This window comes from Homo sapiens, chromosome 14, assembly GCF_000001405.40.
Source record: "Homo sapiens chromosome 14, GRCh38.p14 Primary Assembly".
In the NCBI taxonomy this organism is placed as follows: domain Eukaryota; kingdom Metazoa; phylum Chordata; class Mammalia; order Primates; family Hominidae; genus Homo; species Homo sapiens.
In genome coordinates, this window is record NC_000014.9 from 60,643,147 (window position 1) to 60,669,184 (window position 26,038).

Consider the following 26,038-nt stretch of genomic DNA (forward strand, 5'->3'; position numbering starts at 1 on the left):
TCCGGCCCCAGCCACGCTGTCCTAGCCCAGAGAACAGGTTCAAGAACGGTGGTGCCCAGCCCCAGCGGTGCCCTTCTCCGTCCCTGTAGCTCGCTGGGCTCTTGAGCCCCTACCCACTAAGCCAAAAATTCGGGAACCGGGAGCCAAACCCCTTGGCCTCTGAGAATTTAGGAAGCTTCGTTTTCAGCCAAGAGGTCAAGGCGAGCAGAGAGTGGGGACTCGAACAATCGCGTGTTTAGGTTTAAAACGTTAAAAAATAAACATCACTCGAGTGTTTTTTTTTTTTTTCATTTCACTTGGCACAATGCTGTATGGTTTCGTCCTACAAACTATTTATAAGCCGTTGTTCATTACTTTTGGCTACCGTTATGACATCTGTAGAGGAGAAACGAAAAGTGGCTTTAGATTCAGTTAAACTGCGACGCCCAGAAGGTAAACTGGAGGTCCCTTAACAGCTGGTTCTCGAAGATTTCCTCGAGGGAAGAAAAAAATATGGTTAGTTTCCCCTAATGATCTCTCTGAAATGATTGCCAAAAAAACTCAAAGCAATATCCAGCTTTCTCGCCTCCTCCTGCTCGCCCCTTTTACCCAGACTGAGCCGAGGATGGCGGAAGGAGGCACATTGTGCAATTTCTTATTAAACACATCTGGAATATGCGCGCTCTGGATTTAGTGCCAGGGGTTTTACAAAGAGTTTATGACTGTGACAGAAAATTGTCCTTTTAACAAGTTTACAAGCAGTAATCACGGGGGCTTTTACAGGACCAGCGCTCTTGCTCCTCGCCGGATCTGCAGACATTTCCAAGATTCACCAACTAAGGGAGCAGGAAGTGGGCCGGGGCGCCCTGCGAGACACAACTTCCACGAGCCTAAAATTATCCCAGGCGGAGCTGGGAGAGTGGAGGGTAGTCACCGGAGTAGGAAGAGACGGCATGTAAGAAATTAAAGTAATTGGCCCTTCCTATTTTCCAGAGAGATTTCCGCAGCGTCCTTTGAAGCCTGTCAGGGTCATTGAAAGCTATCTTTGTGCAGGGTGTTTGTTTTGGGGAGTGAATGTGAAGAATGTGAGGAGATTCCCTGTGAGAGCCCCTCCTGCAGAGGGTGGCATTTCTCCGTGGCCCAAGACAGGGAGAATAAACACCCTAGTGACTTAAATAAACACCGACTTAATGATCCAAAACACTAACAAGGGAGATTGGGACCCTGAGCTCCCAAACCAAATGATGGTCTCTGAGTGGCTGTGTGCACATCTGTCCATCACTGAGGGGGAAAAACGACTTTATAAGTAAAAGTGTGTACAGTTAAGTACAGTGACCATTTCTCCCTGGAACTCAAAGCTATTTGACAGTTTTAAAAAATAAGGCCTTGATTTCCCCAAGCACACCTCAGTTTTCTAGACCAGAACAGAAATAGGAAAGAGTAAGAAAGAAATAATATATTAATGGTGACAATTATAGATGGGAAAAAATCAAAATTATGAAACTGTCATGTCAGAAAATAAATAGATTCTCCCTGGGGAACAATATTTTACAAAGCACAAGCAAGCCAATCCTGTTATCCTGAGTAGAATTTTAATAAATAATGCCATTTGTTTCACTAATTTTAAAAGCTAAATACAGAAGATACATCATTTTGCCCCAGGCAAAAATAATATGGAGCCTACATGATTACTGGGATTTTTCTAGACACCATCCGGCAGCACTGCAAAAGAGCTCCTGTCCTGCTGGTCTGCTTTCTATTTGTACAAATTAATTCACAATGTTTCTATCCTTGTTCTCCTTCCCTTTTTTGTCTTCAAGCAGATAAATTATTTTTACTTTCACAGTCTTGTCATAAACTTGTTAACACAAAAGAGCTTAGTTAACATATGAATGCTGTGAAGAGATAGTGGTAAACAAAATTGCATATCTAAATAATAGAAGTTAATAAATACCCCAAGGCTAAATTCACTCTTTCTGTCATATAATTAATCTAGTTACTACTCTTGGTTCAGATGATGGCCTTCAAAGTACCCTGCAATTCACAGCCACCATTAAGTAAGAAAGAAAAATATATTTAAAAAAAAAAATAGGGCCCAATGACAGCAATACACCACTCACCTTTCAGAAACAGAATCATACTCCTGGTGTTCTACTAAGTTTTAATTTAGACTGCTTTAGGTACAATAGAAAAGAAACCTGAAAACACATGCTGTTTTAGTAACAAATACCAGGTTGCCAGATTCGTTGGCATACCTTTGCAAACTAGAAACTAGAAACAGGAGAAACCCTTTACAGGAGTAGGCTACAGATATGAAAGCTTTGAGGGCATGAGTAATGGCATTCAGGAAAGTGTTTTTTCACATTGGTACATTTTTAGAGTTTGTCATTTAAAAAAAAAAAACCCAAGAAAACAAACAACAACCAAAAAATCCCACTAAATTTGACAAAAATAGTTGCATTACTAATGGTCACGTCTATTTCTGTCTCACATAGAGAGCATTAAGACATTTAGGCACTTGTTTTTTCCTCCTAATACTGGTCTTTTATTTTAATCTACATTAAATTGTTTAACACTAAATATGAAAAATGTAAACTTAATTTTTCCTCATCAAAGAAAGTTATAGATTGTATTTTTCCTGTTCACCTTAAGAATGTAATCAGTTCTTCTGAGCCTGGAGGCTCTTATTTTCACTATTTTTATCTCCCTTTCTCTTTCTCTTTCCATTTCCTTTCCCTCTTCACATTTCTCCATATATAAATTAAAAGGAAATAATGAAAATCCAGTTGATTTGCAATTCCCATTCATTGAAAAAAAAGAAAGGCTGCTGAAACAGGCGTATCAGTTGCCCAGAACTCAGACTGGGTGCCTGGGTGCTTTTGTTTGTTTGGGTTTTTTTTTTTTTTTTTCCCTGATCTCTGCATTGGGAAGGAAAATGCAAAAGTGGAAAGAGTTGGAGAGAAGAGGAGATTAAGCTTGAGATCGCTGTTGGTTTTGATTTTTAAAAAGATATTTGTGAAAGTCCACCATTCCTTTATGCGCAAACAACTCCAGAAACAAGCTGCAAAAATGTTCCTGATTTCTATTTACAAGTGTCCCTAGTCGCTGCAGTGGTTGCTGCTCCAGGAATCCCTTCGAGGCCCCAGTCCCTCCCCACTTAGGACCCCAAGTCCACCAGACTGGAGGTGAGGGGGCCGAGCAGAGAGTCTTGGAGCTGATGCTGGTGGGTCTGCAGGCCGTGACTGGGCTGCGAGGCTGTTAAGCCCGGGAGAGAATAGTTTGAGCTCCTGGCGTGGCCCATATTGCCCTGCAGCAGAAGGACCGAGTTCTGGTCTGGACTTTGGGGAGGTGAGAATTCCTCTTCTGAGCTGGACATGAGCGGCTTGCCCCCTTCCAGAGGAGAGAGTTGGTTCTGCTTGTTGGAGGAGGAGTTATTGTTTTCGGTGTTCTCCCTAAGAAATAGAGGACAACACCATATGGTTAAAAAAAAAAAAAAAAAAAAAAAGTAGGTTAAAAAAAAAGTGTGAGATGGAGGGAGGGGAGCTGGAAGGAGGAAAGGGCCATTGTGCAATCTGTCACCAACCCAAATGGAGGAGCTCTACCCTTCCACCCATCCCCAAGGGTAATGGGGGAGGTGAGGAGTCAGAGGAACCTGGAGAAATGGAGAGCTACGGACAGAGCCTCCTGTTAGGAGCCAGGTCCTTTTCTCTTCCAGATTTCAGAAAGTGATAGATTAGCAGGATTTATTTGAAACATACAAAATATATGTTTTAAATTTTGTTCAAGCAGTTACATTTAAATACATATAAACTAGCAACATATTTAAATGTAACTGAAAATCTTTCAATAAATAGATATTGGTGATAAAGAAATGATAGAGGACAGAGTCCAATGCACAAATGTTTGGGGTGAATCAAGTCCATTGCCTTGTTCGCATATGAGGAGACAATTAAACATCCCGTTTTCCTGCCCCAGCCCAGAGTTGGTGGTTTTGCAGACACAGAACAGGTCATGGGAAGTGGTGCCCAGCGCGGCCCAGTGACCTGAGTAAACACAGGGAGCGCAGCCAGTCTCTGATTTCATCTGGAGTCGGCCCTCGGGCCTGGCTTATAGGACGGCCGTTTTGTAACTAAAGGCTAACTGCAACCATACAATCCCTGTTCCTGTGTTACTTGCTAACTCTTCAGCCCCTCGTGTCCCCCTCTCAAACTTCCTACCAACACCCACCCCAACCCATCCTTTCTGGGCAGGGGAAACTTCGCCGCCCCGCACAGGCTGCCAGCGGGCGCGGCGCGCTGGGGCGTCAGTCCGGGCACTCGGTACCGGTTAACTTCAGGATTTCGCTTCCCTCGCCGCTTCCGCCTTCCGAGTGCTCGTCAGTCCTCCCGACTCCTAGCGCCTGTCTGTCTCCTTTCTTTCCCCTTATCCTCACAGTCTCTGTCTCCCGACAAGCCCATTTCAGCAGAATTTATCCTGGCTCTGGTTTTCCACCAAGACAAGAAAGGGAGCAAGATCTTCGGCCCCTAGTCTTGGAAGCGAACAAAGGAAAACCTAACCGGCCCCTGCGCTCAGGTTTTCCCCCAAACTCTTTGGCTTCGCGGAGCGCTCTCCCCGCCACAGCCACCTCCCCACCGTCCTTCTGAATCTCTGTCCGAAACGCTATAGAGAACAGAAGGAGCCTGCCCAGGTGGCCGAAGGTGTTGCCCCGAGGTGGGGGAAAGTAGAGACCAATTTTTAAAATATTGCCTTGTGAGCTCCAGTGCGAGAGAGGGCTGCGACTGGAGACCCTTTCCTCGTCTGGGCATGCGGCGCGGTCAGCCAGACCGACGGGCTGCAGTGCCGGGCCACGCGCGAGCGAGCACGGCGAGGATCAACCCTTTCTTAATTTGGGGCGCCGGGGAGTAAATGCAGCGCCAACTCTCCCCAAAGCTCTCTTTTTGTTGTATCTTTAAAAGTCTCCTCCATTTGTCCAGCTAGTGAGAAATGAAGCAGGCTACCTCTAAACCAAAAGACTATCAAGAGAGAGCTGTGGAGAACCAGGCGGGAGTGGGGGCAGAGCCAATGTCTCAGGCCAGCTTCACCCCTCTGGGGAGCAAGAGGAGAGAGGTTCGCGAACCTCAGCTCCCACCAAACCCCTTTCCTTGCGACACCAATCAACATTTCACTGCCCGTTGATTTAGAAACTCACTCTCCACCCACCACTCATAGCCGCGGCCAGCCAGGGAGGCATAAAGACCAAATCTAGCGCCAATATTTCCCGACACTCACATCCCAGAGAAACCCACGCGCGGGTGCTCAAAGCAAATGAGGCCCCATCCTTAGCAAGGAACCTCAGAGTTCATGAACTTTCGCTGCAGCGCCGCGGAGGGCCTGCGCGCCGCCCCGTGGACGGGCTCCGGCCGGCGGGGAGGACTTGGTGGCTGGTGCCTGCGGGGGCGGGAGGGGGCGGAGGAGAAAGGACGGCTTCCTAGGGTCGCCCGAGTCGCGGGAAGCACGCCGCGTACCTTTCCTTGGCCTCCGCGGCCCGGTCTCTTTGCCTCCGGTTCTTAAACCAGTTGCTGACCTGGGTGGTGGTGAGGCCGGTGGCCTCGGCCAGCTCCCGCTTCTCACGCGGCGATGGGTAGGGATTGTGCGCGTACCACTCCCGCAGGACACCCCTCGACTTCTCCTTGAAGCAGTAGCTGGTCTCCTCGCCGTCCCAGATGGTGCGCGGCAGTGGAAATTTTCGGCGCACCCGATATTTGCCCACGGCGCCCAGGGGTCGGCCGCGCAGCTTCTCGGCCTCCACGTAATGCGCCTTCAGCCACAGTTGCTGCAGTTTGGGGTGGTTGTGAGGCGAGAACTGGTGGCTCTCCAGGATCTTGTAGAGCTCACGGAAGTTGCCGCGGTGGAAGGCGACCACCGCCTTGGCCTTGAGTACGCTCTCGTTCTTGTGCAGGTGGTCGCAGGCGGGCAGTGACCACAGGAACCTGCCCAGGCGCTCCAGGTTTCCGCCTTGCTGCAGAACCTCGCACACGCACGCCACTTGCTCCTGCGTAAAGCCAAACGACGGCAGCATCGACATGGCTGGGGCCTGCCGGGGCGCACGGCCCAGGCGCACGCGGCAGGGAGCAGAGCCGAGAGGCAGGGGGCGGCGGCCGCAGGGAGGGGGGCGCGGCTGTTCCTAACCTCCTCCTTAGGCTTTGCAAAGGCGAAAACCGGAGTCGGAACTTGGCGGTGGGCGGCCAAGGAAGAGAAGGCGGAGGAGTAGGGGAGGTTCTGGACACGGAACGGCCGGCGCACTCAGTAGCCTTTAAGGCCTTGCTGCCTCCGACCTCCCGCCCGGTGGATGCTGCTAGTTGCCGGGGAACTTGGTTTCTGTTCTCCCCGCAGCGGCCTTAAAGCGCGCAGCGTCCCCGGCACGCTGATTGGCTGCCGGCGGCGCCTATCCGGGGCTGGCCAGCCAGCGCGCCGCCCGGCTGGGCAGAGAGGCCGCACCGCCCAGAGCGGGGAGGGCGAGGCTGCGGAGCTGGGGGTTGGGGGTGTTGCCGGGGCTGCGCGGGTAGGGAGTGGTGGGAGGAGAAGGAAGAGGAAAGGTGGGAAGCCAGTTGGGGTCTGAGGGAGCTGCGCTGCGGAGGTGTGGGGAGGTAGGGAGTGGGTGAGCGCGTCAGGACCCTGCAACGCGGGACCCGTCGCCAGTATCACCTAAGGGGAGTCGCGCACAACTCCGCACAAATCAATGACTCCAAACCTTAATTCCTCCCCTCTCCCTCCGTACTCTTGTCCTCATCCCTTGCAGACTTGCCCTCTCCCGGTGAGCTCATATTTAATTACTTTAATGTTGGAATGAATAAATAATGGATTGATGAATAGCTTATGGAACGCGATAAATAATTCAAGAGCAGACCAGGGTCCGCGCATGCAGCCTCTGGAAGAGTGGCTTCGGGTTGGCTTCAGCTCGAGGAGTCCAACCCTATTTCCTCCTCCCTCCCCCCACCAACTACCACTGTCCTCCCCCCACTGCTGCACACCACCCTCCAAAGGGCACAAGTACTCCCAGTCGGACAGCGTTTCCCTCGTTCACAAAAGACCTCCATGATTTGAGACCAGGCAGAGAGCTGTTTAGAGCATACTTGCTGAGCACCTAGAGACTCCGAGCGTTCATTTGTGATTTGGTATCTTAATGTTCTGCGATTGAAACCAGCAGGTTCCTGAAGCTTCTGGACTCAATTTCCCCATCTGTGCGGTTGTGTTTTGCAGTGCCACCTCTGCTACTGAGGAATGCCGAGAGGCTTTACTTGCTATTAGCAAAAATGCTTTGGGAACCTCGTACGAAAGGCGCTGGATGTGGTGTAAATTAAATAAAACTGTGCCCGGCTCCAATAACCGTCCGGTTGTAATATAATCCTTACCCTGCTCTGAGAGGGACACTGCCCTCAAAGCGAGAACGACAGCGGCTCCAAGAAGATTAAATAAAGAGGTGTGTGTGTGTGTGTGTGTGTGTGTATGTGTGTGTGTGTGTGTGTTGCAATGCTGGCCTATTTTGCTGCCAGGGAATGAGAGATGCACTGCAATTTAAGTCCCATCATCTGCTGTTTTGTTTATGTGTGGAGAATGCTTAGTAAAACTGCACAAACAAGTGAAGTTGTAATTATCTTAAGCCTCATTTGCACACCTAGTTCCAAAGCAATAATTAAAAGGATTTTGAAAACAATTAGCCTCTCTAAACAAAGATAATCTATTGTCAGTAGCTGAGACTAGCAGGAGATAAGAACAATGCGTGGAGATAAGGGAAGCCAAATGGTGGAAGGAGAGTGACTTTATGACTATACTTATCTCTGATTAGATAAGTTCAAAACAGAATTCTAAGTACACTTCAAAAATGCTTTTGATTTCAATGTGCCCTCTTAGTGAGTGGTGAAGAACAAACTGTAGGCTCCTTAAACTGGCTTGTCTTCTTCAAATATGTTTTGATTCCTTTAGCCAAAGAGCCCAGCACTACAGAACCTTTTGCATATTGAGATGCAAGTGGGAGAAGGAGAAGCATGTCTTGGTTTCCTCTTTTATTATTAATATGGTTTTAAAATGATGCACCCAGTACAGTGCACCCTGCAACATACATTCTAAACTCATAAAGGGTTCCCACCTCAGGGCTGCCACATGGGAGATTCCAAGTAGACAGGAAGCTGCTTCTCTGCTGAACATAATGTTTTCTGCATCCTTGAAACTCTTGCTTATTCCATGCAATTAGATCTTGGAAGCAGATGCTGATATTTCATTACCTTAGGCTTTTTTTTTAAAAAAATGCATTTAATAGGTGTGCATGCTTTCAAAAGAGCCTCTGCCATATAGTATGCCCAATGACTTTCTAAACTGGAAGCCTGGCACTGCTAAACCCAGAGCCATGTCTGGTAATTTCCCCTCACTGTCTTATTTTAGTGCTTATGATGTTTCACATGAAGTCTTAAGGAGCTGCAGTGCCCTCCCAGAAGGAATGCCTCTGCTTGAAACAGTCCTTATTGACATGGCAGCTGTGTGAGGACCGGAACGGAGGCTTAAACCCGGCTCTAAAAATCAGTTAATACCCTAAAGTCTGGAGCAAGTGCGCACAATTACAATGGGGGGAGGGTCTTTAAGCACAACCACGTCTCTTAAAAGACAAACAGTATGTTGAGTATGGGGTGTGCTTTGTAATTAACAATTTTGTATAAGGAAATGAGGCATAGCCTGCACAAATAAGGGCAGGTATAAATTTACAGAGGATGACAGCAGAGATGGCAATTAGACACAAATAGGACCACCTTTTTTTCCCGGCTTCCTCCAGACCTACCTGCCCATTTCTTTTTATCTGTCTTCAAAAGGAACCAGGACGTACTACATTGCCGTCATCTGGGAAGACGACGTGTAGAAGGTGTGATTGCGGGAACCCGGGCAGAAAAGAGGTGCTCTTCCTCGGAGGCCGTGACTGGGCCGGCCAACATTTTTCCTCCCGCTTAATCCAATAGATCGCGTAACTGGAAAGGGAAAGTGCTATGCGCTTTATACCAAGGAGTCTACCTGCTATTTCGATCCCTCGGTTAGGGGAACCAATTGTTATAAATGTTAATTATTGGCTCGGATATATAAGGTTTCCCAAAATGGAACCTTTCACTGAAAACCGCTGAAAGAGGTAAAATGACATGAATTTACAAACCACCTAAACTAAATGATCCATTTTAAATCGCACACAGAAAGGTTTGAGTTGTTCTCGTAACATAAAACCTTTGCTGTCAATGCAAATCGCACGAAAAGCAGAGATGCGTTGGAGATTTAAAGGAAATGAGCAACTCTAGCCAGCCGGCTGCTGCCCTCGCTGCAGCGCGGCTCGGGAGGGAACACCGCTGGCAAGGAGCGCCCGATGCCAGGTTTCGGCTCTCCAGTGCCTCCTCTGTGCAGGTAACGGCCGCGTGCGCTTTAGTCGATGAAAAAGCATTCAGTGGGACAGCATTAGCTGTTGCTAGGGTTTCTCGGCTGGGTTGACAGGCCTTGATGCAAACACCCCTAGCTGGGACCCACTTGTTTCCCTTCTGGCTTGTAGCAAGATAGTTAGGGGCTCCCGGGCCGCTTTCTTGGAATTCTTTCACCATCCAGAACGACGGTGAGGATTCTACTCTACCTACAAATATTTGGAAAGGGAGGGCATAGAGAGGTGTTTCTTCAATAAATTCGTGTCATCGCTCTGGGGCAGTGCGGAGACTCCCCAAATCCGGCTGAAGTGCCAAAATTCTTTTTCCTCTGCTTAGTCGGAAACTCCGGGTGCCCTCGACCCTTGGGAACTCCGGCTCCGATGGCCGGCGTGGCGCCGGAGCAGCAGCCCACCTGCTCCTGGGGGACGCCGCTCCCCGCGAGGTCTGAATAGGCCTGGGGCTCAGGCAGAGAGATTTGCGGACTCAGAGAAGAGAAACCCAAAACCAGTCCATTAGTAAATGAGTTTTGTGTTGTCAAGGTTCTTTCCCATCCACTTGCTGTTCTGAAAAATAGATCACGTTTCGTTATCTTTAGTGGGAATCTGCAACGTGACACCGGATCCGCGCGGCCCCCGCCTCCCTCCCTGCCTCGCTCTGCCTGGCTGAGGGGAGCAGGCGGGCCTCCTCAGCTTATTTCTGAACAATGAAGATTTGTCTCTTCCCCAAGTGTATTTATGTATGTATGGAGGGAGGAAGTTTTCTCCTGGAAGCGGGAAGCTCGAGAGCAGAGCCTCCTACTTCTTTGGTGCGAAAACGCTGCGCTGGCCCAAGATTCAGGGCGACTGACGCCCCCCACCACCTCCACCGCCCACACCTGGACAAACAGAGCCAGCTGTGAGCCTGGCTCGCCGCTGAAAACCCTGCCGCCCCGCGCGGCTCCCGAAAATACCATCTCCGTATTGTCTCGAGGTCAGGGAAGGGAGAAAGAGAGAAACACACACAGACTGATGGACCGACTGAGGGTCAAGCACTGGGAGGGAGCTCAGACTGGAGGGGAACAGAGCTGGGGTGTGTGTCTTTGGAAGAGTTATTCTCTCTCTCCCTCTACGTGTGTCCCCGTGGCAGGTCTTTCCCAGAGTGTGTCTCTAACTCTTTTCTCCATCTGAAAGAGGACGCTCGTTCATTCTGTCTGTATGTGAACCTGTTTCTCATTCTCTCTCCTTATCTCTCTCTCTTCTTTCTCATTGTTTTTCCTCTTCCTCTTCTCATCCTCCTCTTTCTTCCTCCTTCCCTCCCTCTCCCTTCCCCTCGGCTCTGGGCGCTCGTTTTTTTCTCTCCGGGACTGGGCGCTGTGAGGTTTCACAGAGTGTGCTTATGTCACCCACTGAGGCAGCGCAGGTAAGTTCTCTTGAAAGTAGACCCTCAAGTCTGGGCGGTGTAGTAGGCCTTACTTGGCGAGAACCTTTCACAGGGAGTGGAGGGCGGGCAATAGATGGTGTAGCCTGCACGGAGGGCGGGCAAAGGTGTATTGGCCACCTAGGGGAGAAAAGGGTTAACAAATTGCCCTCTGAGAAAGCTCTGACCAATCGCCAGGTTTGAGCTAGAAGACCCTACTCAACATCAGATGCCAACTACCTCTCTGGAAAGTGGAGCCAAGGTGTCACAAGAAACAATTCTTAAGAATTAAAGGGACTCTGCGCCCCACCCCCCATTCCCTGTTTTTTAAAATGTCTCCTTAGGGCAGGTTTATGAAATGAAACTCTCCAAAACCGCTATCTTCCATTGAATTTCCAATCAACTTTTTTTTCTCAACTTATGTACATCCTGAATACCACATCTGTCTAAGCTAAAAAGAATTTCCTTTTGGGAGGTGAAAGCCTGCAGCTCCTCCTGTTCAGAGGAAAGTGCTAGTGACGGTAATGCAGGGTGACACTAAATAAACAGTTAGGGTGGACTGGAAAGATGGAGTTAATTATCCAGTGAGCTGCATTTCAGCCCAGACCATCAGGGGCTGATTTGTTTTGGCTCATATTTGGAGGAAGGAGACAAACCACTCTTCTCCACATCTCCTTGGGATCCTGATCATTCATGTCTTCAACAAAACAAAAAACAAAAACCACTACCCAGGTATCACTGCTTCACTTAAATTTTGGTTTATTACTCCTCTGCAGGCTCTGAAAAAATGTCCACTCCATTGCCCCATATCCCTGGAGGGAAGAACCAAAGCGACTCAAAAATGTACTCCCACGAGAAGAAAAATCAAGCTATTTGGAGTCCAAATGGTAAGGAGGCCCAGTGACAAGGAAAGCAGACATTTAGCACCCCTCCCCATCTCTTCACTTGAATTCTTACAATAAGCTTATAAAACTATGTGTTTATAAAAACTAAGATATTGGCTTGGTTTCATGATGGTTTTACTCCACTCTCCAAAAAAATCAGGCTTCGTGAAATTTGAAATGCAATTAGATTTATCGTTAGCGTGATTCACTGACTATCTGGTTTCCTCAGGTAAACCTGCACTTACATATAAATCCTAGTAATTTGAAACTTCTCCCTACCCACTTTGCCCACCCACTCCCCCCCCACCCCCGCATTCTGATATTAATAATCCCCGGCTGCCCCTCTTTCCGGGTCATTACGGTACTGCTGGTCTCTAATCAATCCTAATGCGATGGCAATTGGAGTCCCTGATGACTGCGGCTCGGGTTTCTTGTAATGGCTCTACCACATTTTCCTGGACCTCCTTCTTTAACCTGAGATGCCAGGGGGACAAGTCTCTTCTCGGCTGCTGATTACTTCAAGATGTGGGGGCTGGTTTGAACTGAAGGATAAAGACACGCGCACAGCGTGGCTGCCACAGCAGGCTGGGCGGCTGGGGAGAGCAGACGTCTGCACGCGGGGCGCCGCAACCCGAAAACCTTTCGCTACTCTCTTTTCTTTCCCCCATTTTCCAGGCCCAAACTCACCCTGGTGGACCGAGATGAAGATTCTCAGAGCAGATTTTTTTTTTTTTTCCTGGTGCGGAAAGGCCTGGTGGTCTCTGGGACTCTCCAGTTATCGAGCGTTCCCACCCTACAGCGTCCGCCCAGGCGCAGGCCTGCCCCTAGTTCAGGAGTGAACCCCTTCTCCCATTGCAAAGAGCCAGCTTCTTTTTCCTTCGGGTTGTTTTCTCCCAATGCCTTCCTCCTCCCCAATTGCCCAATTGTAGAGTGGGTGTCCTGAAGAGAAACTGGAATCTCTGTCCCGCCCCCCCGCCCCCATCTCATTCACTAACCCTTGACCTTTCTCCTGTTCCTCATCCCAGCAGTGCCTGAAGTTCCCAACCTGTTCCTGACCCAAACCCCAGACCCTGAGACCAGAAGCTTGGCCTGGTCATGTTGGGATATGACCTCTTCTCCCTCGACCTTTGGGGATTCGTCGCTGGGAATCCTTAGCCTTTAGAGATAAAGGGCCAACACTCCTTTCTCGCTGGTGCCACCCGGAGACGACCACAAGTGGGAACTTGCGCCTGCCTCCCTTCTCCCCGGCCGAAAGCTCTAGTTCGCCTCCCCTACCCCCGGTCCAGGCTCGGCAGCGAGGCAATCAGCACGTTCGCGGCATTTGTATTCTTCCATTTCTCAGCCTAAGCCATTTAGTGTAACCCGAGCTCAGGATAATTGCCACGTCTCTGCCGTGATACTTTTTAAAACAAGATAATGCTTCTGAATTGCGGAAGAAAGTGCTGCGGACAAATTGGGCGCTGAGCTGCTGAGATGGATCGCTTTGTTAGTGGAGGCCAGTGGTTTGTGACTCAATTAGTGCATTTCTGGGAGCCGCCTGTGTTGTACAGTAGGGTCAGCTGGAAGCAAACTACCCCTGTGGCTCCCACAAGCGGGTAGGAATTCGGGGGATGGGAGCACTTCAGGCCTGTACCTCAGTCGGTGCATACCCAAGCCGTGGGATCTGTTTTTGCATTCTCACACGAGCATATTGCTCGGGTTCTAAAGGATCCAGATTTTCGCAGACAGAAGCTCGACCGCCTCTGTTCCCAAAAGGGCCGAGCGGCGTTTGTCTGAATCACCAGTCCTCTGAGCAGTGGGAAAAGAGATACTGGGTAGAGGGTGCTGGGAAGGTGCCCACTCATCCATGCCCCTCTGCGCGTCTCGCCCACTCGCTTAGGCTTGGACTTTGCAACAAGGTTTCCAACACCGCTGCAGTGCTTGACAAAGCCCTCCTGGAAGCCAGCAGGGTGAGGCTGCCAGCAAGCAGGCGGGCTGCGAGGGACGCTTTTAGGACTAGGAAGAAGGCCGTAAGATCTTTCCTTACCTCTACTCAAGTTCACCCGCCACCCTCACCCATCAACCCTCGTGCAGGCCCGGGTCCACGTTTCGCGGACTGATCCTGAGCCTCAGTATAACTCGCTGTGCCAGGTGCGCGCGCGCAGCCAAGTATCCGCGCGCGGACGCCGGGGAGGCTTCACCGCCCGGTGTGCTGGCGGCCCCGCCCGCTGGCTCGCAGAGCGGGGTCTCGCAGAGCTGGGCCTCACCCGTCGCCCCGCCGCCTGCACCAGAAACTCCCTCCCCGGGCTGTGCGGGAGCTCTTGGGCGCCGCGTCTGCGCCGGGGCCGACTCCGCCCAGGCTTGTAGCCAGAGGTCGCGCTATCTCGCCGGGCTGGCCCGGCGCTCTCTGGGGTTGTTCCCTCGGGCGGTGCATGGGGCCCACAGGCGTCGGGGCTTGAGGGAAGAGGGGCCGGGGCCTGAAGGGCGGGGACCACAACGAGGCGCGGGGAGGTCAGTGGAGCGGAGAGCCGGCGCAGGCCGGCGGCGGCGCGGCCGGAGGAGAAAGAGGGCGCTGTCTTCCTGGCAAAGGAGTTTTCGCCTGGCCGGCAGGAACCGAAACAACAACAACAACAAAAAAAAAAGAAAGAAAGAAAATCTGCTCCGCCGAGTCCCCGGAGTGAAGAGCGCGCGGCGGGAAGGGTCTGGGGTAGCGGAGCGGATTCTCGGCCCAAAGCCTGGGGACCGCTCAGCCCACCTTGGCTTCGCCAGCGCCACGTAGCCCCGGACGGCACTCGCGAGGAGGGAGTTTTCTTTGGCTTCTTTAGCTGTTTCCATAATCGCCTTCTTTTAGGGCCATCCCTCCCTCACTTTTTCCCTCCAAAAACTGGAGGCGTTGGGATAAGGACGGCGACGCTTCGCTGGCGAATGAGGTGCCTCAATTTGCCCGAGGCGAGCGGGGAAATCGGGATCTCCTTTCATGAAGCCGAGTTGGCTTCTCGGTTTCGTGGAATCTGCGGCCGGAAGCCGCGACCCCAGCCAGTCATTCGCGTTGAAGCGCCGCAGCAAGTGGCAATGCTTTTGGCCGCGCATTGCCCAGGAACAGCAAAGAGATGGAAGACCCTCTCATTTACCATCACCAACTGGTCGGGGAGCACACGCAGAGACCAATAAGGTCCCAAAGACAACTACTATCAACCATTCTCCACCCAAATCCACACATCAAAAAGACTGAACTTGTATTAATGCGGGTGAAACAGCCATCCCTCCATTCCAAAAGTACATACTTCTCTGTCATCTACCCAGGATAATTTGTTCTTGCCTTTCCATGAGCGTAGTAAACCAGGCAAAGCAAAACAAAAGGATCCCAGACTCACTTATCTTCTGCCTTGAAAGGTCGCTCTGGATTCATGGACATATTTAAAGGCCCTCCTGATTTGTACATAGATACTAGAGCCGATCATCTCCATCCACCTCTGCCGCCAGAGCGCCTCAAACTCCAGTCTCTATTTGAATTTCCTGTGAAGTCTTGACTCTTCTGTAGCCCCTCCAGTAGAATCCAGGTGGCCTTGTAGTTCCGCCTTTGGCAGGAGACTTATTTCCTAGGAGTAACTGGGTGGGCTGCAGTCCGCCTGCCTCTTCACATTGAGAAGCGCTTCTCTTGTGGGAACGTCTGTTTCTATTCAGCGGATTTTCTAATTTCTTTGATCAGCCTAAATATTTTCTTGGCAAACGGAAATTGACCATGCCATGAATATGATAACAACCTGCTTGGAAAAAAAGCTATTTTGTTTCCAAGCAGCAGAAAAAAAGGGGTGGGGGGACGGTGAAGGAGGCTGGCTGTTAGGAATGCCTGTAACAGATTCCAGCACATACATCTTTTTGCAGTCTCTGAAGCAGCTTTGTGAAAACTGCCTTTTCTCTCTCGTGAAGCTTCTTTCCTTCCTCTCCTCCTCTCAGTTAAACACACACCTGGTCTCCTAAAAGCCTTTGATACTCTTTATTAAAAAATAGAACTTCAATGGATGCCTCAGGAGACTTTCCCTTTAAAACATAGATGAAAGGCAAGGTTAATACAATGTTCTCTTAATCCCTTTGCCTTCTGAGTCAAAATAAATATTTTCTTCTGCATGTGATTGTACATCCTGCCATTTGGCTATGGCTATAAGCAAATTGACGGTAATAAAAATGTTTTGAGGCTGTGTATTAAATGCCGTTCTCTTGAAACCAAGGGAGGGGAGGGAGGAGCCTTACTTCACAGGCAAGAATTGGTGGATTTCTGAAAAAGCTGCAAGAAAAGGACCTTTCACCTCTCATTAGTGATGCCATCAGTGCTCAGGCAGAGTGGAGCTGAGGTCATGTTACATATGGCACACAGTCTGCTCAGCACTTGAAACGTCAGCTTTGAAATTTTAGAGAGGGGAAAGGTCATCTTTAATAAGCTAAAGTCTGGGGCTCCCATTGCCCTCACTGCTAGCTGGGTGGGTGTCCATATGCTTCAAACCCTATGCAAAAGTTTTTTTCTTTTTCTTTTTAATTTGCAGTTTAAGGCTGATTTTTGTTTCTTCATTGAAATCTTAATGTTTTCAGCTGTTAATACTCCAAAAGGCCTTTCATTTTTATAGCAACTTCGTCATCTTTCCTTTTCTTTTCATGCAGTCATAAAACTGTCTGTTCTGAGTGATAGCTTTTTAGAGCTCAACTTCCCAGGAGAAATGAAGTGTATCTGTCCATCTGCATACATGAATCCAGACATGTGGGCTATAGGGTTACCCTTCTGTATGGGTAATTTAGACTTCACTCTTGTGTACTCATTATTTACTGAACCTTCAAAACACTGAAACTTCCATATTATATGAAAACACTAGTTTCTGAAAACTTCCTGGGTACTACTAAAATTTTTTATGCCAGTTACTGAAATTTCACATTTTATTTTTACCATGTGGGAGAAACTCTCAAATCAGAATATACTGCTTTTTCTAGAAGGCTTGAAATTAAGACTACCCAACAGATGCTATAATGGTAGATACAGTACTGAAAAAAAAGGTGCTAACATCTCACTTCCTTGTTCAGAAAATATTAGAAACATTTGTGATTGTTTCATCCTCAAATTTGTTCAAGAAGTGAAGTCAACCAAACCAAGGCAACTGGCCGGACACAGTAGCTCACACCTGTAATCACAGCACTTTGGGAGGCCAAGGTGGGCGGATCACCTGAGGTCAGGAGTTCGAGACCAGCCTGGCCAATATAGTGAAACCCCATTTCTACTAAAAATACAGAAATTGGCTGGGCATGGTGGCGCATGCTTGTAATCCCAGATACTCAGGAGGCTGAGGCAGGAGAATCACTTGAACCTGGGCAGCAGAGGTTGCAGTGAGCCGAGATCGCACCACTGCACTCCAGCCTGGATGACAGAGCAAGACTACATCTCAAAACAAAACAAAACAAAAAAACCAAAGCAACTGAACTATCCCCAGATCTCTTTGCAGCCACTGTAAAGATGGATAAAAATACCTTTAGGTAGGCCAGGCGCAGTGGCTCAAGCCTGTAATCCCAACACTTTGGGAGGCTGAGGTGGGGCGCATCACAAGGTCAGGCGTTCGAGACCAGCCTGGCCAACATGGTGAAACCCCGTCTCTACCGAAAATACAAAAATTAGCCGGGCGTGGTGGCGCTCACCTGTAATCCCAGCTACTCAAGAGGCTGAGGCAGGAGAATTGCTTGAACCCAGGAGGCAGAGGTTGCAGTGAGTTGAGATCGTGCCACTGCACTCCAGCTTGGGCGACAAGAGTGAGACTACGTCTCAACAAAAATAATAATAATACTTTTATGTCACCCTGTAAGGAACTTCTCAATAGTGATTTGTTACTGAGTTCCAGAACATTTTTTTTTTCATATGGACCCACAGTCCAAGAGGAGTAGCCTTAACACACCATTACATGTATTCCTCACTTATTTTTCTTTGTATCTGTCAACGCATTTTTTTTTCCTTTTTTATAGATAGGATCTTGCTACATTTTCCAGGCTGGACTCAAACTCCTGGGCTCAAGCAATCCTCCCACAATAGCCTCCTGAGTAGCTGGGACTACAGGCATGTGCCACCATGCCTGGCTACTTGTCAACCTTTTTTTTTTTTTTTTTTTTTTTTGAGACGGAGTCTCCCTGTGTCGCCCAGGCTGGAGCGCAGTGGTACAATCTCTGCTCACCGCAACCTCTGCCTCTGGGGTTCAAGCGATTCTCTTGCCTCAGTCTTCTGAGTAGCTGGGATTACAGGCGCCCGCCACCATGACCGGCTAATTTTTGTATTTTTAGTAGAAACAAGGTTTCACCAGGTTGGCCAGGCTGGTCTCAAACTCCTGACCTCAAGTGATCCCCCACCCGAGTCTCAGCCTTCCAAAGTGCTGGGATTACAGTTGTGAGTCACCGCACCCAGACCTTGTCAACCCATTTTATCTGTTTATATATACCAGATTCTGATTCTTTTTCCAGTTTTTTCTTTTTTCATAAAGGTTACATATCTTGTGCTTATAAAATTAACTTTAAAAATAACACAACAATGTATGCTAATCGGTTTCAAACAAGTAGACTCAATGATACTTTGAAATCCTTTTTCCTACTCTGCAAATCGAAAATATTGGAACAATCTTTAAACATTCTCTTGAGCCAACTAGGGGTTCCTCATTACTAAAGAATTTAATGATGGCGATATGCAGATAGGTGTTGGTTTTGCTTTGTGTCTAATCAGATTCTCAAAAATCCTTAATTTTGAATGAGCAAAATTTTAAAATAACAGTTTTGCATAATTGCAACTGAAACTATAAATGGGAAGGATGATTTTTACAACCAAATGACATCAAGTAAATAATTTATTTCTAATCACTTTGCTACATTAGGGTTTACTGCTAATGAGCTAGTGGACTTTGTGATACTTTAGCTAACCCAAGGCACTTGAGGCTTTGATGACCCAAATGGTTTAGTAAGTTCAATCAATCTAGTCAATAGAAAGTGAAGATAAAGATGCACGCTGTGGTCTTAGGGAGTGCAAGTGCATGCATATGTGTGTGTGCATGTGTGTTTGGGAGGGAGATTATGTTGCTTTTTCAATTTTAAAGTTCCCCAAATACTCCAGGAAAATTTATGAGCAGATTGCATCACTCTAGTAAGCCTGAAAAAACAAGAAGTGAAATACTTCAAGAGGCAGATTCATTAATGATAGGTTAATAACTCATTAACAGCCTATACAAGGAATAGTAATAATTTTTTTTCTTTTTTCTTTCTTTTTTTTTTTTTTTTTTTTTGAGGAGTCTCACTCTGTAACCCAGGCTGGAGTGCAATGACACGATCTCAGCCTCACTGCAACCTCCGCCTCCCAGGTTCAAGCGATTCTCCTGCCTCAGCCTCCCAAGTAGCTGGGATTACAGGTGCCTGCCACCATGCCCAGCTAATTTTTGTATTTTTAGAAGAGACCAGGTTTCACTATATTGGTCAGGCTGGTCTTGAACTCCTAACCTCAGGTGATCCACCCACCTCAGCCTCTCAATGTTCTGGGATTATAGGTGTGAGCCACTGCACACAGCCCAATTTTCATTTCTTTTACCATACCTCATTCAAGAACATGTAATATTTTACAAGCCTGATCTCATCCATCTCAAAATTTTGGGAAATATCATCCTTATTACAAACAGTGATTATCTCTATTACAAAAACATAGCAAGAGCTGGGCACAGTGACTCAAGCCTGTAATGCCAACACTTTAGGAGGCTGAGATGGGAGGATCACTTGAGCCCAGGAGTTCAAGACCAGCCTGGGAAACATAGTGAGACCCTGTCTCTACAAAAAAATTTTAAAAGCCGGGCATGGTGATATGTGTCTCTGGTCCCAGTTACTGCAGAGGCTGTAGCCAGAGGATTACTTGAGCCCAGGAGTTTGAGGCTATAGCGAGCTATGATTGTACCACTGCACTTCAGCCTGGGCAACAGAGCAAGACCCTGTTTAAAAAAAAAAATCCAAAACACCGTGGCAGAGAGGTCGCATAATTTGCTTAAGGTAATATAATTCAGAGGCAGTTTGGGGGCAAGAGCTATAAATCCCAGATCCTTCCCAATTTATTTAAAAGGCAATTTTTCGCAAAGAGGTCAGTGATTAAAGTGACTTGGATTTAGTGAGTTTTTGTAAAATATTTTTCTCCTCTATAATTCAGGGTCAAGATTTGTGAGAAATTTGATAAATGTCTTTAAATTACCAAGAAAAACGATGTAACATGAAGTGGCATCAGCCCACCTAGATCTGGTAGTTCTTCCATTCTGTCTGGAAGTAAGCCATAGTCTTAGTTGGTACAAATGTCATGTGGGAGGAGACATACAGATTACAGAACCATGAGGTAATTACTACAGCTTAACTGTCCCACACAGAAGCTATTAAGTGATCATAAACAGAGTTACAATAGAATACACATTCTATGACAAGATTTGGCCTGTACTTTTAATGCTTACAATTCTTTCTTTGGCTTATTGAGGAGAAGAAATATAAGATACACTAGAAATTAAGAATTTGGTTGATCTTTAGGGCAATGCTTCACAAACTGTAATGTACATGCAATTGACCTGAAGCATTTATAAAATACAGTTTACAGGACCCTGCCCCAAGAGTTTCTGATTCCCTCGGTTTAAAGTGGGACCATGAAATCTGCATTTTAACAAGCACCCCAGATAATTTTTTTTTGAGACAGAGTTTCGCTCTGTTGCCCAGGCTGGAGTGCAATGGCACGATGTCGGCTCACTGCCACCTCCGCCTCCCGGGTTCCAACAATTCGCCAGCCTCAGCCTCCAGAGTAGCTGGGATTACAGGCGCTCGCCACCATGTCCAGCTAAGTTTTGTATTTTTAGTAGAGATGGAGTTTTACCATGTTGGCCAGGCTGGTCTCAAACTTCTGACCTCAGGTGATCCACCCACCTCAGCCTCCCAGAGTGCTGGAATTACAGGCATGAGCCACCGTGCCTGGCCGCACCCCAGATAATTTTGATGCAACTGGTCGGTGGGCTATCCTTTGAGAATAAACATCCACTCTGCCTAAGAGTAGAGCATAACAAATCAGCAGGAATAAAATCTAAACTTCAAATTTTTACCTAATCAAAATTTACTTTTCTTTGTACCATTCTAAAGAGGACTTGTAGATTAGATTTTTGGCAGGATGGGAGGAGAATCTTTGGGTTTCTGAAGAATTTTGTAGGAATTAAAATGTTTCTAACTAGTAATTAGGTATGAAATCATTTGTCCTTTTTAAGTGATTGGTCTTGCTAAATGAGATAGTAGGAAGTGACACCAGATCAGGAGTGACAAGAAAGAAAAACCTCTGAAGAAAATCCAAGCACCGTTGCAAAAATTAAGCAAATCTCATCATCCAATGAACACTGCAGAGTATCCAGTATTGCTAGCTAAATGCCAGCTTAAAAGGCCAAAAATTTTTAAACATCTCTTCATTGTACATGACCCCTGTGGAATACTGTGACTCAATTAGACCTGCCCTCCCTCAAGATTTGCAAGAAATGGAGAAGCTCTGGAGAGTTGTCACAATATGATAAAAGGAGTAGAAAATAGACTGTATGAAGAAGTTAAAAGTGGTTGTCCAGGCTGGGCACAGTGGCTCACGCCTGTAATCCCAGCACTTTGGGAGGCTGAGGCAGGCAGATTACCTGAGGTCTGGAGTTCAAGACCAGCCTGGCCAAAATGGTGAAATCCCGTCTCTACTAAAAACACAAAAATTAGCCAGGCATGGTGGTACGTGCCTGCAGTCCCAGCTACTTGGGAGGCTGAGACAGAAAAATCACATGAGCCCGGGAGTCAGAGGTTGCTGTGAGCAGAGATCACACCACTGCACTCCAGCCTGGGCGACAGAGGGAGACTCCGTCTCAAAAAAAAAAAAAAAAAAAAAGTGGTTTTCTACATTGCAAATAGAGGTCATTTTTTGCTTATAAAGGTTTATAAAGGGTTTTTATAATAAATAACATAAATCACAGCTTCTCATTTATAAAAGATATTAAATACTGAAAAAATTAATAATCATAATTTATAATATTTTCCCTTTAAAGATAACTTGAAAATGAGATAATAGAAACATAGACGCCAGACTCTTTGCTGTTGGAAGAGGCTGAGAAGTCAATTGGCAGTTGAACCTGCCAATCTTAGTAGAATCCTTTAGAAAACATTCTTGATGGGACAGCCCTCAGCTCTGCTTAAACACTTGAATATTGGAGACCTCATTATTTCACATCTGTCTTGCATATTTCAAGACACATCAAAACAAGAAAGATGTGCATGGTGATCATAAAGTCACATGGAACCCATGATCCTGTACAAACTAGATAAAATGTGAGTAACGTGGAGGGGCTCTTCTAATTACTTGTTGGTCAAGTAGAAAATAAACTGTACTAGCTAAACTGCTTTCTCAAGTTTCCATTTTAGGTATTTCTACTGTTTGCCCACTGCCTAGTAGACTGCTGGAGTTCACTATAGGAAAAGTAAATATTGTCATTTCAAATAAAGCACTGTTTATTATATAACAGAACAGAGGCTGCTTTCTATTTTTGAGACTCTGCTAAATTAATTGCGGACAGTAGCCAAAGCAGCTGCCCAGGAGATGGTGTTTTCCAACAGCTGCGGTTCTTAAAGCTAAACTGGGATTCATGTTTGTCTATAATGTGGCATCACATTGTTCTTTTCATCAAATGTATTTGGCTGCTATTGGGATTTCATAAATGCGGGTACCATTTGTACTACTTTACTAGCCCATTTGACTCCTGCATTGAGGACAAATGATAAGCCAAGACAGATAAAGCCAAAGTTGGAGGCTTCCATGAATGAGAGTCAGCCCAAATTCTTCTAAATGAAAGAGAAACGATGGCCTTAATGCCCATTTCCATCTAAAACAGGGTTTCAAAAACTTTGGTAGGTTGAGACTGGGCTCAGTACTTTTAATAATGTTTTAATAATGTTTCCACATCCATTTTGATCTGGTGCCCATACTTTGCTACCTACAGTTTGAGAAACACTGGTCTAAATCAGTGATAGGGAAAATAAATCTGGACTGAGTGGTGATTTAAGAGAAACAAAGTTTTAGTTAAAAAGGGAATGTTATTTCGGGAGTCACACTTTGCACTTCCGTAACACTTTCCGTCTTTCAAAGGGCTTCTTACACTTGATCCTCACTTGTGAGATGGATTAGGAAGGACAATATTATTAACTTTATTTTACAAATAAAGAAACTGAGACAGAGTAGCTAAGTAACTGGATATGGGGGCTAGAAGCCTGAGCTTTCCCATCTTTGTTTACACAATTCAGTCTCATTTTTAGTATATCAAAACATATAGATAAACCTCAAGCTCTTTAATGGCTATAACATATTTCATGGGTATTATTTTAATTATCTATTTTAGATAATTTAGATAATCATTGAAGACATGTTGATGAACATGTCTTTTTTCCCCAAGCTTTTTCTTGTATGACTAATGTTTTATTACTATCTTTTCACACATATCTTTGAGTACTTGTATGAATATTTTGTTAGGGTAAATTGCTAAAAGTTAAATTGCTGAGTCAAAGGGTATATATATATTTTTACATATATATGTGTGTACATGTATGTGTGTGTATATATATACCCACACATATATACATACACCCACCCACACACACACACACATACACACACACACACACACACACACATATATATTTTTTCAGACAGTGTCTCACTCTGTTGCCCAGACTAGAGTGCAGTGGCACAGTCACAGCTCACTGCAGCTTCCACCTCCTGGGCTCAAGCAATCTTCCCTCCTCAACCTATTGAGTAGCTGGGACTGCAGGTACACACCACCATGCCCCACCAATTTTTTTATTTTTGTAGAGACAGGGTTTCACTACATTGCCCAGGCTGGTCTTGAACTTCTGGACTCAAGCAATCCTCCCACCTCAGTCTCCCAAAGTGCTGGGACTATAGGTGTGAGCCACCATGCCCAACTGGGGTAGATGTATTAAAATTTTGATGTATATTATTTGATTGGCCTTCAAAAATGTGTACCATTTTGTACTACCCTTGACAATATACAAAAAACTATCTTTCCCTAAATGCCTGTTTAATCTTCGCGAATAATTGGGAAAATGCGGCAAATTTAAAATTTTTCATTTTTATTATTAATGCAGTTAGCATCTTTCAAAATTATGTCTAAGTAAATATAAAGAGATGATAAGAAAGTGTACAAATCTAAAGTATACAGGTCAATGGCTTTTTAACATATGTATCATCTGAGTAACCATCATCCAGATACATAACACATTTCTACTATTAATACCTCAGAAAGTTCTCTCTTGCCACTTTACCCACCTACCCAGAGACGATCAGGCAAAGTGAATTATTATTAGAAGTCAGAAGACTTCTAATATTAGATGCTGACTTGTAATATTAATTCATTTTGCCTGTTCTTGAATATAATATCAATGAAAGCAAATAGTTTTATGACGTCTATGCTCAACATAATACCTGTGAAGGCTGGGCATGGTGGCTCACGCCTATAATTCCAGCACTTTAGGATGCCAAGGTGGGCAGATAGCCTGAGGTCAGGAGTTCGAGACCAGCCTGGCCAACATGGCAAACCCCATCTCGACTAAAAATACAAAAATTAGCCGGGTGTGGTGGTGTGTGCCTGTAATCCCAGCTACTCAGGAGTCTGAGGCAGGAGAATTGCTTGAACCCAGGAGGCAGAGGTTTCAGTGAGCTGAGATCGCACCACCGTACTCCAGTCTGGGTGACAAGAGCGAAATTCTGTCTCAAAAAAAAAAAAAAAAAAAAAATATATGTATATATATATATATATATTTGTGGACTCATTCATGCTGTTGTGCATATTAGCCATTCATTCTTTTTTATTAATATGTTATATTCCATCATATGACTACAAATTAGATTAGTTATCCACTCTGCTGCTAATGGGCATTGGAGTTGATTCCAGTTTTTTACTGGAATAAATAAAGCTGCTGTCAACATACTTGTATATGTCTTCCATTGGGCATAAATTCTCATATCTCTTGGTTATATACCTGAAGTGGAATTGCTAAGTCAAAGAAGACATACAAATGACCAACAGATGTATGAAAAAATGCTCAGCATCACTAATCACCAGGAAAATGCAAATTAAAGCCACAGTGAGATATTGCCTCATATCTGTTAGAATGGCTGTTATCAGAAAGATGAAAGATAAGTTTTGGCAAGGACACAGAAAATAGAACCCTTGTACACTGTTGGTGGGCATGTGAATTAGTACAGACATTAGGGAAAACAGTATGGAGGCTCCTCAGAAAATTAAAAATATAACTATCATATGATATAGCAATCCCACTTCAGGGTATATACCCAGGGGAAATGAAATTAGTATGTCAAAGAGACATCTTCACCCCTAGGTTTATTGCAGCATTCTATTTACATATACGTAAGACGCTAACTGCATTAACAATAAATCACCAAGATAAGTCAGCCTAAGTGTTCATTGATGAATGAATGGATAAAGAAAATGTGTATACTATACAGCCTTAAAAAAGAAGGAAATCTTGTCATTTGCAACAACATGGATGAACCCGGAGCACATTATGCTAAGTGAAATAAAGCAGGCACAGAAGACAAATACTGCACAATCTCACTAAAATCTGTGAAATCTGAAAAAGTCAAACTCATAGAAACAGAGTAGAATGGTGGTTGCTAGAGGCTGGGAGGGCGAGGGGGGATGTTGGTTGAAGGGTACAAAGTTTCCGTAAAGAGGATGAGTAAGTTCTGGAGATCTATTGCACAACATGGTGAATATGGTTGATAATAATATATACACAAAAATTGCTAAAAGAGTGGATCTCAAAACGTTCTCACCACACACAAAAAAGATAACTATGTGAGGTGATGGATATGTTAATTAGCTTGATCATAGTATGATTAAAGTATAAATTATTATAGTCATTTCACAATGTATACATATATTAAAATATCATGTTGTACACTGTAAATATATACAATTATTATTTGTCAATTATACCTCAAAAAAGCTGGCCAAAAAATTGCTGAGTCATAGAGTATGTGTGTGTAGCTTTAACAGACACTGTCAGAGAGTTTTCCAAAGTTACACTCCCAACAGCAGTTGTATGAGAGTTCCAGTTGCTCCACATTCTTCCCAATATTCAGTATTTTCAGTCTTTTAAGTTTTTAGACTCTCGTAAATGTGTAATGGTGTCTTGTAGTTTAAATTTGCACTTGCCTGAAGAATAATGATGTTGTCTATCTTTTCATACACATAATGGCCATTTGGATATTCTCTTTTGTGTGGTACTTATTCAAGCCTTTTG

At 45.8% G+C, this 26,038-nt stretch overlaps 1 protein-coding gene and 1 non-coding gene across 3 annotated transcripts, besides 13 other annotated features; one reads left to right on the forward strand and one right to left on the reverse strand.

Moving 5' to 3' along the window:
* Positions 275 to 6,331, reverse strand: SIX1 (SIX homeobox 1). 2 transcript variants are annotated; one of them, NM_005982.4, is made up of 2 exons: positions 5,484 to 6,331; positions 275 to 3,431 (listed from the first exon to the last, which is right to left on the reverse strand). In NM_005982.4, exons 1-2 carry the CDS (start codon positions 6,041 to 6,043, stop codon positions 3,137 to 3,139), a joined length of 855 nt encoding a protein of 284 aa, NP_005973.1. In that variant the 5' UTR covers positions 6,044 to 6,331; the 3' UTR covers positions 275 to 3,136. The 2 variants fall into 2 exon arrangements, with proteins under 2 accessions (NP_005973.1, NP_001412071.1); NM_001425142.1 differs by having other exon boundaries at positions 1,553 to 3,431; positions 5,543 to 6,331.
* Positions 758 to 1,320: an enhancer, noted in NCBI's record as "OCT4-NANOG hESC enhancer chr14:61110622-61111184 (GRCh37/hg19 assembly coordinates)". NCBI's record gives its function as "activates a minimal SCP1, AML or CMV promoter by ChIP-STARR-seq in primed H9 embryonic stem cells {active_cell/tissue: H9 hESC(primed)}" and the evidence as "EXISTENCE:reporter gene assay evidence [ECO:0000049][PMID:30033119]".
* Positions 3,750 to 4,372: an enhancer, noted in NCBI's record as "H3K4me1 hESC enhancer chr14:61113614-61114236 (GRCh37/hg19 assembly coordinates)". NCBI's record gives its function as "activates a minimal SCP1, AML or CMV promoter by ChIP-STARR-seq in primed H9 embryonic stem cells {active_cell/tissue: H9 hESC(primed)}" and the evidence as "EXISTENCE:reporter gene assay evidence [ECO:0000049][PMID:30033119]".
* Positions 4,373 to 4,994: an enhancer, noted in NCBI's record as "H3K4me1 hESC enhancer chr14:61114237-61114858 (GRCh37/hg19 assembly coordinates)". NCBI's record gives its function as "activates a minimal SCP1, AML or CMV promoter by ChIP-STARR-seq in primed H9 embryonic stem cells {active_cell/tissue: H9 hESC(primed)}" and the evidence as "EXISTENCE:reporter gene assay evidence [ECO:0000049][PMID:30033119]".
* Positions 4,995 to 5,616: an enhancer, noted in NCBI's record as "H3K27ac-H3K4me1 hESC enhancer chr14:61114859-61115480 (GRCh37/hg19 assembly coordinates)". NCBI's record gives its function as "activates a minimal SCP1, AML or CMV promoter by ChIP-STARR-seq in naive and primed H9 embryonic stem cells {active_cell/tissue: H9 hESC(naive and primed)}" and the evidence as "EXISTENCE:reporter gene assay evidence [ECO:0000049][PMID:30033119]".
* MIR9718 (microRNA 9718) lies at positions 5,502 to 5,565 on the forward strand. The gene has a single exon (NR_162089.1). It is a non-coding gene; the product is annotated as a microRNA 9718 (primary transcript).
* Positions 5,617 to 6,237: an enhancer, noted in NCBI's record as "H3K27ac-H3K4me1 hESC enhancer chr14:61115481-61116101 (GRCh37/hg19 assembly coordinates)". NCBI's record gives its function as "activates a minimal SCP1, AML or CMV promoter by ChIP-STARR-seq in naive H9 embryonic stem cells {active_cell/tissue: H9 hESC(naive)}" and the evidence as "EXISTENCE:reporter gene assay evidence [ECO:0000049][PMID:30033119]".
* Positions 6,248 to 6,487: a silencer, noted in NCBI's record as "silent region_5813". NCBI's record gives its function as "represses an Ori minimal core promoter by ATAC-STARR-seq in GM12878 lymphoblastoid cells {active_cell/tissue: GM12878}" and the evidence as "EXISTENCE:reporter gene assay evidence [ECO:0000049][PMID:35858748]".
* Positions 9,167 to 9,936: an enhancer, noted in NCBI's record as "H3K4me1 hESC enhancer chr14:61119031-61119800 (GRCh37/hg19 assembly coordinates)". NCBI's record gives its function as "activates a minimal SCP1, AML or CMV promoter by ChIP-STARR-seq in naive H9 embryonic stem cells {active_cell/tissue: H9 hESC(naive)}" and the evidence as "EXISTENCE:reporter gene assay evidence [ECO:0000049][PMID:30033119]".
* Positions 9,937 to 10,705: an enhancer, noted in NCBI's record as "H3K4me1 hESC enhancer chr14:61119801-61120569 (GRCh37/hg19 assembly coordinates)". NCBI's record gives its function as "activates a minimal SCP1, AML or CMV promoter by ChIP-STARR-seq in naive H9 embryonic stem cells {active_cell/tissue: H9 hESC(naive)}" and the evidence as "EXISTENCE:reporter gene assay evidence [ECO:0000049][PMID:30033119]".
* Positions 9,937 to 12,620: a biological region, named in NCBI's record as "VISTA enhancer hs1602".
* Positions 10,335 to 12,587: an enhancer, noted in NCBI's record as "VISTA enhancer hs1602". NCBI's record gives its function as "enhancer in: dorsal root ganglion[6/6] | branchial arch[6/6] | facial mesenchyme[6/6]" and the evidence as "EXISTENCE:transgenic organism evidence [ECO:0001131][PMID:17130149]".
* Positions 11,786 to 12,620: an enhancer, noted in NCBI's record as "OCT4-NANOG-H3K4me1 hESC enhancer chr14:61121650-61122484 (GRCh37/hg19 assembly coordinates)". NCBI's record gives its function as "activates a minimal SCP1, AML or CMV promoter by ChIP-STARR-seq in naive H9 embryonic stem cells {active_cell/tissue: H9 hESC(naive)}" and the evidence as "EXISTENCE:reporter gene assay evidence [ECO:0000049][PMID:30033119]".
* Positions 13,815 to 14,084: a silencer, noted in NCBI's record as "silent region_5814". NCBI's record gives its function as "represses an Ori minimal core promoter by ATAC-STARR-seq in GM12878 lymphoblastoid cells {active_cell/tissue: GM12878}" and the evidence as "EXISTENCE:reporter gene assay evidence [ECO:0000049][PMID:35858748]".
* Positions 14,165 to 14,464: an enhancer, noted in NCBI's record as "active region_8479". NCBI's record gives its function as "activates an Ori minimal core promoter by ATAC-STARR-seq in GM12878 lymphoblastoid cells {active_cell/tissue: GM12878}" and the evidence as "EXISTENCE:reporter gene assay evidence [ECO:0000049][PMID:35858748]".